Consider the following 12887-nt stretch of genomic DNA (forward strand, 5'->3'; position numbering starts at 1 on the left):
GCTTTAGCAAGTGGGATTCAGGGGAGTTAGAAGAAATTCCTGGCAAGAAATTGGAATGAGCAAGCCTAGGCAGTCAGGGACCTTTCTTTGAAGGGAAAGGTCAAAAACAATCAGCTGTCACTACTGACTTTAGACAGGAAGGCACATCTGGGTTCCAGTGCCAACACAAACACTAATCACCTTGTATCCCTTAACAAGTACCCTTCATTGAACCATCAGGAAACTGGATAGAAAGACAGAATTTGGACGAGCTAAGCCACCAGGTCTTCTCCAGCACGACTGTTATGTGTGCCTAGGCTGGAGCGAGGAAGAGGACTGAATGACATGACCTCTGTTAGAATGATGCTAAGGAGTACCAGGGAGAGGTTGGGGATCTGAGGCAGTGAAGGATACACTCATCCTCCACCCCCACCCAAGAGAGGGTCTCAAAGCACTGTCCCTCTCCCTGGAAGGTGGAAAATCCCAGAGGAAATGGGACTGAGATACTGTGCAAAGGAGCCCAAGCTCACCAAAAGCTTCCATGACAGGGTTGGAGTTCAGGATCCTCTGTTCTATCCTCTCTGCAATCTTGTGGCTCTCCCAAGATGCAGGTGAGGTGGCCACCACAGCATAGAACTTCATTAGGCAGCGAGACGTCCATGTCTGTGGCAGAAACAGCCCTGTGGGAGCTGTATCTATGCTCCCGCCCACTTCTGAGCCTGCCTGAGAGAACAGTGCCCACCAGAGCTCTCTTCTCCACCAGTGTGTTGCTGACAAAATGGGTGAAGGCAGAATTCAACCCTGGCCTCAGGCAAGGCACTTCCTCTACCTCTGTTTGTAAAATGGGAGTAGACATCTGTTTCTCTCAGCTCTGTGGCAGACACTGAGCTATCGAGGCTTTCTGTGTATGTTTTTTTTGCAAACTCTGCAAAGGTGTGATTATACAATTGTTTATAAACAATAAAACCAAAGCATAGAAATTTAAAAATTTATTAAAAATCATGCATCTACTCAATGACAGGGCTCCCATTTATACCCAAGCAGTCTAACTTTTTTTTTCCGAGACGGAGTCTCATCTTGCCTCCCAGGCTGGAGTGCAATGGCACAATCTCAACTCTCTGCAACCTCTGCCTCCTGAGTTCAAGCGATTCTCCTGCCTCAGCCTCCCAAGTAGCTAGGATTACAGGCGCACGCCACCACGCCTGGCTAATTTTTTACATCTTTAGTAAAGACGGGGTTTCACCATGTTGGTGAGTCTGGTCTTGAGCTCCTGACCTCGTAATCTGCCCACCTTGGCCTCCCAAAGTGGGATTACAGGTGTGAGCCACCGCACCTGGCCCCAAGCAGTCTAATTTTAATTCATACTCTTGTTCTTAATCAGCTGAAGTGAGGTATACTTTCATTTTAACTTCTAATTGTTTGTGGCTAGGACATAGAAATACACTGTCTTTACATATTGACCTTGTATCCTATCACCTCACTAAACGCTCTACAACTTTTTAGTTGCAGTAAGGTGGCAACTTACTTTGTAGATTCTTTAGATTTTTCTTTGGGATCAGAGATATTTCTATCTTCTGAAAGACTTTATGTAGAACTGGTAACATTTCTTCCTTAAATGTTTGGTAGAATTCACAAGTGAAGCCACCAGGGCCTACAGCTTTCTCTGTGGGAGGGCTTTTAACTATGACTTCAATTTCTTTCAGAAATAGGGGCTATTCAGGTTCTTTTTCTTCTTGTGTGATCTTCAGCAGTTTGCGTTTCTCAAAATATTTCTCCATTTCATCTAAATTGTATAATTTCTTGGCATAAAGTTATTCAAAATATTATCTTAATCTGTAAGATCTATATTGATGTCTACTCCTTCATTCCTGATACTGGTGATTTACATCTTTTTTCTCTTTTTATAAGTCTGACTGGAGAGTTATCATTTTTTTGTTTGTTTGTCTTCTTTAGAGGCAAAGTCTTGCTGTCACCCAGGATGGAGTGCAGTGGCACGATCTCGGCTCACTGCAACCTCTGCCTCCGGGGTTCAAGTGATTCTCCTGCCTCAGCCTCCTGAGGAGCTGGGACTACAGGCGCTCGCCACCATGCCCAGCTAATTTTTGTATTTTTAGTAGAGACGGGCTTTCACCATGTTGGTCAGGCTGGTCTCTAACTTCTGACCTCAGGTGATCCACCCACCTTGGCCTCCCAAAGTGCTGGATTACAGGCGTGAGCCACTGCACCCAGTGAGTTATCATTTTATTCATCTTTTCAGAGAAAAGTCTTTTATTTCATTAATTTTTCTATTTTATTCATCTTTACTTTTTCCCTTCTTCTGCATACTTTGGGTTTATTCTGTTCCCCTCTAGCTTCTTAAGGTATGCCACAGACTGAATTGTGTTCCCCTCAAATTCATATTTTGAAGCCCTCACTCCCAATGTGACTGCATTTGGAGAAGGGATCTTCGGGAGGTAATTAAGATTAAATAAGGTAATGACGCCAGGTGCGGTGGCTCACGCCTGTAATCCCAGCACTTTGGGAGGCTGAGGTGGGTGGATTGCCTGAGTTCAGCAGTTCAAAACCAGCCTTGACCAACATGGTGAAACCCTGTCTCTACTAAAAATACAAAACTTATCTGGGTGTCATGGCATCCACCTGTAATTCCAGCTACTAGGGAGACTGAGGCAGGAGAATCGCTTGAACCCGGGAGGCGCAGGTTGCAGTGAGCTGAGCTCGCACCGTTGCACTCCAGCCTGGGCAACAATAGCGAAACTATCTCAAAAAAAAAAAAAAAGAGGTAATGAAGATGTTGTGCTTTCATTTTAATTTATTAGTTCAAAATATTTTCTAATACCGACTTGGTAATGAAATTTCAGACAAGGCTGGACACAGTGGCTCACGCCTGGAATCCCAGCAATTTGGGAAGCTGAGGCGAGCTGATCACTTGAGGCCAGGAGTTTGATACCAGCCTGGCCACCATAGTGAAACTATAACGTCTCTACTAAAAATACATAGTCTCTACTAAAAATACAAAAATTAGCCAGGTGTGGTGGCATGCACCTGTAATCCCAGCTACTCAGAAGGCTGAGGCAAATGAATCACTTGAACCCAGGAGGTGGAGGTTGCAGTGAGCTGAGATCACACCACTGTACTCCAGCCTGGGCCAGAGGATCTCAGAGGAAAAAAAAAAAAAAAAAAAAAAAAAAAAAAAAAAAAAAATATATATATATATATATATATATATGTGTATGTGTATATATATGTATATACATAAAAGTATGTATATATATATAAAAGTATGTATATATATGTCTCCTTAGAAGATAATCACTAAGGCAAAAATGGTAACAATGTTTATATGACAGCATAGCATCATTAAAATGCTGAATTTAATCAAAGGCAATAAAAAAAGGAACTAAGATCACACGGAACAATTTAAAAAATAAGATGGTAGATTTAAACCCAGGCATAGTGAGATAGATAGATAGACAGATAGATAGATTTTTTTTCTTTATAGTATCATTGTGATTTTATCTTTTACCCATAGGATATTTAGAAGTGCATTGTTTAATTTCCCAATGTTTTAGGATTTTCTAGGTGTCTTTGTTGTTTATTTCTAATTCAATTCTATTCAGCTCAAGGAACATAGTTTGTATCATTTTAATCTTTTTGTTTTTTGTTTTTAGACAGAGTCTTGCTTGCTCTGTGTGAGTAAACTGGGACTACAGGCACAAGCCACCACGCTTGGCTAATTTTTGTATTTTTTTGTAGATATGGGTTTTCCCCACATTTCCCAGGCTGGTCTTGAACTTAAGCAATCCATCAGCCTTGGCCTCCCAAAGTGCTGGGATTACAGGTGTGAACCATTGTGCCTGGCCTCAAAATGTAGTTTTGATTTTATATATTTTTCCTTTCAATGAGAGCAGATTTTACTTCATGTATTTTGAAACTGTAATTAGGTACACACCTGTTTAGAACTGTTTTCTTGATGAATTCACCCATTTATCATTATGAAATGTCTCATCTTATCCTTAGCAACATTGCTTGTTCTAATGTAACCACTTCAGCTTTCCTTTATGAATGTTAGGATGTTATATTTTTTCCCATCCATTTAGTTTGAACTTATCCACGAGTAGACCACTTATATTTATCGTAATTGTCACTATGCCTGGGTTTAAATCTACCATCTTATTTTTTTAAATTGTCCCATGTGATCTTAGTTCCCTTTTTTCTTATTGCCTTTGATTAAATTTGGCATTTTAATGATTCCATTCTATCATATAAGCATTGTTACCATTTGTGCCTTATAGTGATTATCTTCTAAAGAGACAAAAAAAAAAAAAAGATTTTACATCTGTGATGCTGAAACTTACCCCTTTGTGTAGATCCAAATATTTATCTGGTTTTCATATTCTTTTGCACTAAAGAATTTATCACTTCTTGCAGTGCAAGTCTGCAGGCAATGAATTCCCTCAACTTCTATTTGTCTTAAAGTCTTTATTTCACTTTCATTGTTGAAAAATATTTTTGCTGATAACAGAATTCTAAGTTGACAGATTTTTTTCTTTCAGCACCTTAAAGGTGTCACTTTTATCTGTGGGCTTACAGTTTTTGTCAAGATTCCTATGGTCATTCTTATCTTTGTTCATTTTTATGTAATATTTATTTTCCTGGCTTCCTTTAAGATACTTTTTTTCCTTTTTTTTGAGACAGAGTTTCACTCTGTCATGATCTTGGCTCACTACAACTTCCTCCTCCTGGGTTCAAGCAATTCTCCCACCTCAGCTCCCAAGTAGCTGGGATTTCAGGCACCTACCACCATGCCCTGCTAATTTTTTGTATTTTTAATAGAGACGGGATTTCACCATGTTACCCAGACTGGTCTCAAACTCCTGACCTCAAATGATCTGCCTGCCTCAGCCTCCCAAAGTGCTGGGATTACAGGCGTGAACTACTGCACCTGGTCCTTAAGATTTTTTTCTTATATTTAGTTTTCAGCACTTTGACCATAATGTGCCTAAATGTGTTTTCTTTGTATTCATTCTACTTGGCAATTTTTGAGCTTTTTGGATCTGTGCTTGCCATCTTTGGTTAATTTTGTAAAAATATTACTTTTGACCCATGTCCTCTCTCTACTCCTAGGACACCAATTACAAGTACAGTTGACCCTTGAAAACACGTGTTTGAATTGCATGGGTCCACTTATACGTGGGTTTTTTTTCAATAAATCTCTCCTGCCTCCCCTTCTATTATACTTCCACTACCTCTGCCACCTCTGAGACAGCAAGACCAAGCAAGACTGTCCTCTTCTTCCTCAGCCTACTCAAAGTGAAGATGACAGTGATGAAGACCTTTATGAGGATCCACTTTCACTTAAGTAGTAAATATATTTCTTCCTTCTGACTTTCTTAATTTCATTTCTCTAGCTTATTTTATTGGAAGAATACAGTATATAAGACATATAACACACAAAATACGTACTGACTGTTATGTTATTTGTCAGGTTTCCAGTCAACAGTAGTTAATCAGCAGTTAAATTATATGCAGATTTTCAATTGCGTGGGGAGTTGGTGCCCCTAACCTCTGCATTGTTCAATGGCAGACCATTTGATATTGTACTACAGTTCTTGGATGCAATTTTCTTTGTTTTTCAATTTGGATAATTTCTATTCACCAACAGTTAAGTTCACTAATGCATTCTTTTGCATGTCTAGTCTGTTGATATGCCCAAAGATTTATCATGTTTTAAATTTTTATCATCTCCATTTGATTCTTTATAGTTTCCACCTATCTGCTGAAAGACTGGAGGAATCTTTTCTGGAGACACCAATAAGCTCACGGGAAAAGTTATGGCCATTCAGGGATCCCACAAGTTTAAAAAGCTACTTACAGTGAGGCCCCATTGGTTGACAATCTTGTACGTAAACACAGATTCTAATCAGTTGTTTAATGCCTTATTTTAAATATGAACAGACACTCTAGGATCATTATTTCATAAGCCTCTTTTACGTGAAATGACAAATATCATAAATGTTAGAAAAAAACTAGAATGTAGAATTAAAATTTTTAACAAATATTCGAAGTTCCAAAGAATTGGAAGGTAAAGAAAAGAATATCTCTCAGAAGATTAAAAAAATAAAGAGAAAGGAGGATAGGTGAGAAAAACATGATTACACAACTAACCAAATTTCCTCACAGAAGTTCCAGAAGGAGAAAACAGGGGAGGAAATTATTAGATATAACACAAAAATACTTTCCTGAACAAAAGGACATGAGTTTCCAAGTTAAAAAGACCCACACAAAGTACCCAGCATAATAAGTGAAGAAAGGCTATACCACAACACAGCACTGTGAATTTTAATACCTAAAACCTTTGGGGGAAAAAAGAAATCACCATTATGGACTGGCTCTCTCAACAGCAATATATGAAAATAAAACCTCGGCCAGGCACAGTGGCTCATACCTGTAATCCCAGCACTTTGGGAGGCCGGGGAGGGTGGATCACGAGGTCAAGAGATCGAGATCATCTTGGCCAACATGGTGAAACCCCATCTCTACTAAAAATACAAAAATTAGCTGGGTGTGGTGGTGCATGCTGGTAGTTCCAGCTACTTGGGAAGCTGAGGCAGGAGAATTGCTTGAACCCGGGAGGCGGAGGTTGCAGTGAGCCAAGATTGTGCCACTGCACTCCAGCCTGGCAACAGAGCAAGACTGTCTTTAAAAAAAAAAAAAAAAAAAGAAAAGAAAAAGAAAAAAGAAAATAAAGTCTCTATATTCAGAAAGAAAATTATTTCTAACCTGGAATTATAAAACCCAGCCAAAATATCCATCAGATTTGAGGCAGAATAGACATTTTCAGATGTGCAACAATTTGCCCTCCAGGTACCTTGTTCAGGAAACCACTAAAGAATATGGTTTGGCCGGGCGTGGTGGCTCACGCCTGTAATCCCAGCACTTTGGGAGGCCGAGGCAGGTGGATCACGAAGTCAGGAGTTCAAGACCAGCCTGGCCAAGATGATGAAACTCCGTCTCTACTAAAAATACAAAAATTAGCCGGGCCTGGTGGCAGGCGCCTGTAATCCCAGCTACTCGGGAGGAGGCTGAGGCAGAGAACTGCTTGAACCCAGGAGGCGGAGGTTGCAGTGAGCCGAGATCACACCACCTGCACTCCAGCCTAGGCGACAGTGCGAGACTTGGTCAAAAAAAAGAAAAAAAAAAATAGAATATGGTTCATAAAAACAAAACAAGGCAGTAAATGAAGAAAAAGAAAGCCATGGAGACTAGGCGTGGTGGCTCATGCCTGTAAACCCAGCACTTTGGGAGGCCAACGCGGGAAGATCACTTGAGGCCAGGAGTTCAAGACCAGCCTGGCCAACTTGGTGAAACCCCACTCTACTAAAAATATAAAACTTAGCAGGTCAGGCGTGATGGCTCACGCCTGTAATCCCAGCAATCTGGGAGGCCGAGGCGAGTGGATCACGAGGTCAGGAGATCGAGACCATCCTGGCTAACACAGTGAAACCCGTCTCTACTAAAAATACAAAAAATTAGCCAGGCGTAGTGGCGGGCGCCTGTAGTCCCAGCTACTCGGGAGGCTGAGGCAGGAGAATGGTGTGAACCCGGGAGGCAGAAGTTGCAGTGAGCCAAGATTGTGCCACTGCACTCCAGCCTGGGCAACAGAGCAAGACTCCGTCTCAAAAAAAAAAACAAAAAACAAAAAAAAAAAACTTTGCTGAGTGTGGTGGTATGCATCTGTAATCCCAGCTACTCGGGAGGCTGAGGCATGAGAATTATTGGAACTGGGGAGGCGGAGGCTGCAGTGGGCTGAGATTGTGCCACTGCACTCCAGCCTGGGCAACAGAAACCCTGTCTCAAAAAAAAAAAAAAAAAAACAAAAACAAAATAAAGAGAACGCTATGGGTTCCTGCCATGGGGGATTTATCCTAGGACAGATGGGAATCTGGGGATGTGCAGAAGCAAAGAAGCTTCCATGCAACAGCTGTGTGGCAGCAGCCCTCAGCAGGCACCAATCCAGACAGAAGAAAAGATATGGTCTGAGAGCTCTAGGAAGGGTATCTCCAATGAAAGAAGCTGATTTGCTTGCCAGTTTGACAGGTGTTTTCCAGATTTGGTGACAAGTCTGGTAATGAGTTAATAATGGTATATAAAAACTAAACAAGTGAAAAAATGGGGCAATTATTTATTTATTATTTATTTTACTTGCCCCACTTTTTCACTGGTTTAGTTTTTGTACACCACTATTAAACAGGGAAAACAGAGGGAAAATAAAAATTATGCAAGAATATATAGTATATTATATGGCTCTGCTATGCATATACACATGACCATAACCATGTAAATACTGCTTATTAACTTAATTAGAAATTATGAAATAATTATATACAGAATATGTATTTTGAGGGCAGGGAAATAAGGGTTAAATCCTCATCAAAGTAGGAAGTGAACAGATAAGGTCCAAAACCAAAAAGTCAGTAACAACATAAGCAGTAGTTTAAAAATACGGATGTAAACACCCAAATAAACTGATAAAAGATGTGCAAGTAACTGCATCTGGAGACAGGGAACAAGGTTGAAAGACAAGGAGCAGGTTTGCTGTTTTTCTTTATAAGCCTTGTAGTATTGCTTGATTTTTTGAACTATGTAACTACATTACTATTTATTAAAAATAAATTTTTGAAAATATACCAGGCCCAGCCCAGGGCTACAGTGGCTGCTCAATAAAGGGTTACCTAGCTCTCTGGTTGAATGAGTCTTGGACCAGGTTCAGCTTCAGTTCCCCAGAGCAATTCTGGGGGACAAGGCTTCGTTGAGAAGCTGGGCATAAGCCACTTCACTAGCCACCTTGATATAGCTCCTAGAGATCCCCTCCTAACCCAAGTCCAAGCCCTCATCCCTGCAACTTACTGTCTTTGTTTTCTTATCTGTCTCTCAGCAGACTAAGTGCCCCCTGAAAGCTACATGTTGCATTTTTCATCCCCCTGCCACCCCTCAGTGCCCAGCCAGAAGCCTAGAACCTGGCAAGTTCTCAGTGTTCAGCAATTCTCATATGTGAGTGAAGGCAGAAGGAGTTTATGGTCCAAAGAGTTCCTCATGAAGGTAAAAGTGTTGTGGAAAGGGCGAGGCAGCTGGGTGAGGCTTGTCAAGAAGGTGGCAAGGCCTTGGCCAATAGTCTCCTTTGACTAGCTGTGCAACTCCCCACTCATCTGTATGCAACATCCTGTCTCACCTGTTGTGGTTTTGCTACCCAGAAGGCCACGTGGCCATACCAGGAGCTTCTGTCCTCCCCAACACCTGGCCCAATATACTGCCCTTGCCACCATGCGCAACCCAGAGGGTTCAGGTGGTTTACTCCAATAAACTTTTTCCCACAAGAACCCCAGCTACTTTGGAGGAGCACTGCCACATGCCAAGCATGCCACCAGGTGCCATATGTACAGTGACTCATTTAACTCTCACAGAAGTCCTATGAGTCAGGTGTTGGTCCTCCCTTCCCTTCCATTTTACAAGTGGAAGAACTGAGAGCTTTGCAGAAGCTACGTACTTTTCTGATGTGTTCTTAACCACTATGCTGGAATCCCCAGCAGCTGACTTTTGTTTCCAGTAGTGTCAAGAGCTGGGAGACACTTTCGATGAGAAAATAAGGCTTAGAAAGGAAACTTCATTCCTATTTCACCCAGGGTGATGGCAGAGCTTGCAGTAGAGCCTGGACTGGTATCCTGTCTCTTGACTTCCGGCTCAGTGCTAGCCCACCATTGTGCACCAACCCCAGCTTCAGCCAGCCTATGTGGGAATGATTAGGAAGCAAACAACTCCACAAGGAAGGCCAAGGAATGACCCCTGCCTCCCTGTCCACCCAGCCAGTCGTGAGTTGACAGGATGGGAAAGACGTCTTCCTACCTTTCCAGCACCACTCTCTCCACTGACAACAATAGACTGGTTGACTGGTTCAATCAGGCTCTTGACATTCCTGTAGGTCTGTTCACCCACAGTGAACACATGGGGCTTCAGTTTCTGGAACATCAAGGAGTGAAAGGTCATGTGAGGGAATGCCTGTTTTTCAATGATGACTGAGCCAATGATGACTGAGATGGGGAGGCTGCCAATAGCAGTGGTGGGATGCTTCCTCCAGAAAAATTTTCTGGATGTCACATTGTTAGGCCCAACTTTAGAACCCCTATGTTGGCTTTACCTATTCATTTTCTCTCAGCCTAGAAGCAGGGCTAGCCTTGACCAGTTTATGACATTAACACTTTATACCCCCATCTTATCTTGCTTTAATTGTCTTATCCTTCTGCCTATTACTTCATATTACTATAATTTGCAATTTGCAAAGTTCGTATAAACTACTAAGAAGCCTGTCCACTAATTGGAAATATAACCCTATTTTATAGATAAGGAATGTGAGGTTCAGAGGAGTTAAATAACCTTGCAAGGCCACTCAGCAAGTAAGTATATCCATGTGATTTAAATTCCAAAGCCACTGTTCCCCTTTTCTTCAACAACTATTAACTGTCTTCAATGTACTAGGCATCAATCAAGCTGGATGCTGAGGAAACATAGGGGACTACGACTTGGCTTTTACTTTTCCGGAGGCAGGGCAGACAGCAGACAGGGCTCTCAGGACAGACTGCCCCTGGATTCCAACTGGATACCTCATCACGCATGAACTTCTGGAGGGCCACGCCATCTCCACAATGCCTAGCTAACCCAGCCAGCAGTGATCACTTACCCACAGCTTGCTGAGGGAGAAGGCAACTGTTCCATATGGCGTCAGAGCCACTCCTCTCTACACCTGCCCTTGCCCCAGCCACCTATCACCTGGAGGGATACAAAGCCTCCAACTGTTGTCTCTGCCTCCTGCCTCACCTTCTTGAACCCAACTCCCACAGTAATTATTCGTCTAGTGGGTTCTGTTCCCAGTCCCACCTCTACCTGGATGAAGATGCTCTGCAGATTCTCTCTGCCTGCTATGGTGCTTCAGACTCTTCACAAACAACCCTGGCTTTCTCGTCTTCCTGCTCTCATCTACTCCCTCTTGCCCCCAAGACCTCCCTCCTGCCAGCAAGTTTTCTCTCACCTCTCCCTGAATGCATCATGCACTTTTACACCAACAAGCTCATTATCTGTCTGTACCTCCACCACCCCACCCCAAATAACTTATCCTTTTCTCAGTAAAAGAATAAGTTACTTTCCTCAGCAGAGATAAACATATGCTGAATTTTCCAGGGCAATCCTTATCGTGTATAATTTCATTCTTTCCTAAAAAGGTAGTTTTGCTGGACTCAGTGGCTCATGCCTATAATCTCAGCACTTTGGGAGGCTACGGCAGGTGGATCACTTGAGGTCAGGAGTTCGAGACCAGCCTGGCCAACATGGTGAAACCCCATCTCTACTAAAAATACAAAAATTAGCCGGGCATGGTGGTGGGCACCTGTAGTCCCAGCTACTCGGGAGGCTGAGGCACAAGAATCACTTGAACCCTGGAGGCGGAGGTTGCGGTGAGTCAAGATCGCACTACTGCGCTCCAGCCTGGGTGACAGGGAGAGACTCAGTCTCAAAATAAATAGGGCCGGGTACAGTGGCTCACACCTGTAATTCCAGCGCTTTGGGAGGCCAAGGTGGGTAGATCACCTGATGTCAGGAGTTTGAGACCAGCCTGACCAATATGCCTACTAAAAATACAAAATTAGCCAGGTGTGGTGGCATATGCCTGTAATCCCAGCTACTCAGGAGGCTGAAGCAGGAGAATTGCTTGAACTCAGGAGGTGGAGGTTGCGCTGAGCCCAGATCATGCCATTGCACTCCAGTCTGGGCAATAAGACTGAAACTCCATCTCAAAATAAATAAATAAATAAATAAATAATAATAAAAAATAAAAAGGTAGTTTGTTAAATAAACAAATATATAATACCTTTATAAATCCTTTCCTGTTAATAAAACCGCAAACAAGAAAAAAAAATCCTTTCTCTTATGTCTCTTATTTTAGGTTCCAAACTCAGTTAAACAAATATTTATTTATTCCCCACTTTGCACCTTCTGTCCTGTAGTCAGTTCTTCATGGTTCAAAATTCTGCCAGCTCCTATTGGGCAGGCCGTGGCACTAGCAGACTCTGAATGACCACATTGCTGGTGAATAGATGAATAAGGACAGGGGTAACTGCAAAGAGGTTTAGCGGGAGGTAGAGGAGCCCTGAGGCCACAGGCAGCGGCAGAGCCTTACCTGGGGCTGAGGCGCAGCATGGTACTCTCTCATTAGCTCGGGCGAGTAGAGCTGAGGAACAGGCTTGAAGGGGTTCAAGGCTACCAGGGTGCAGCCAGCATTGGTGTAGAATGTGTCTGCCATGTACCGGGCCTGCAGGCACCTCAGGACTGAGGCAGAGATGCCTTTAGCAAACTCGGGCTCAAATATAGTCAAACCACACACACAGACACACATCTACTTAAGTAACAGCCCTCTTTCTGCAATTAGCCAAGAATCATTAAATCCCAGCAGCTCCCTGAAGAAAAGATACAAGATCTAATTAAGATGAGCTCCAAATCTGAAGCAAAGCATGCCCTGGGGAGCCCAGGTGCAGCTGTCATGCTCCCTCAGGCGGAGGTCTGGAGCAGCCCACCTGGCTCCAGATCAGGAGTCCTGCCGACCTCCGTCTGACCTGGAGAAGCTGTGCTGACTACTCTCATTACACCTCCAACCTCCTGGAGATGATACTCCTGAGGAATGGGAGGCCCATACCTGTCTCTAGTGTCACAGGATTCACCCTGGTGAGGTCATCCAGTTTGTACAGCAGGACCTCCCCACCCAGGAACTCCTGCAGGTCTTCTCTGAGGTACTCCCTGGCTTGGCCATCAGACCCCGGATTGTGGCCATTGACCTGGAAGAGATAACGTGAAGGTGAGGCCAGGCA

At 43.0% G+C, this 12887-nt stretch overlaps 1 protein-coding gene across 37 annotated transcripts in view; it reads right to left on the minus strand.

Moving 5' to 3' along the window:
• The window catches only part of MYO19 (myosin XIX), a 49180-nt gene that overhangs the window by 19713 nt on the left and 16580 nt on the right, over positions 1–12887 (minus strand). For 20 of the 37 annotated variants that reach the window (XM_047436835.1, XM_047436826.1, NM_025109.6 and 17 more), the window contains 4 exons: positions 12716–12854; positions 12203–12351; positions 9880–9993; positions 510–642 (listed from right to left, as the gene is read on the minus strand). In XM_047436835.1, coding sequence (XP_047292791.1) covers positions 510–642; positions 9880–9993; positions 12203–12351; positions 12716–12854 — 535 coding nt within the window. Of the gene's footprint in view, positions 1–509; positions 643–9879; positions 9994–12015; positions 12109–12202; positions 12352–12715; positions 12855–12887 lie in introns of those variants that run through there. The other 17 variants (XM_047436823.1, XM_024450955.2, XM_047436837.1 and 14 more) reach the window with 2 other exon arrangements.

This window comes from Homo sapiens, chromosome 17 (assembly GCF_000001405.40).
Source record: "Homo sapiens chromosome 17, GRCh38.p14 Primary Assembly".
Taxonomy (NCBI): Eukaryota; Metazoa; Chordata; class Mammalia; order Primates; family Hominidae; genus Homo; species Homo sapiens.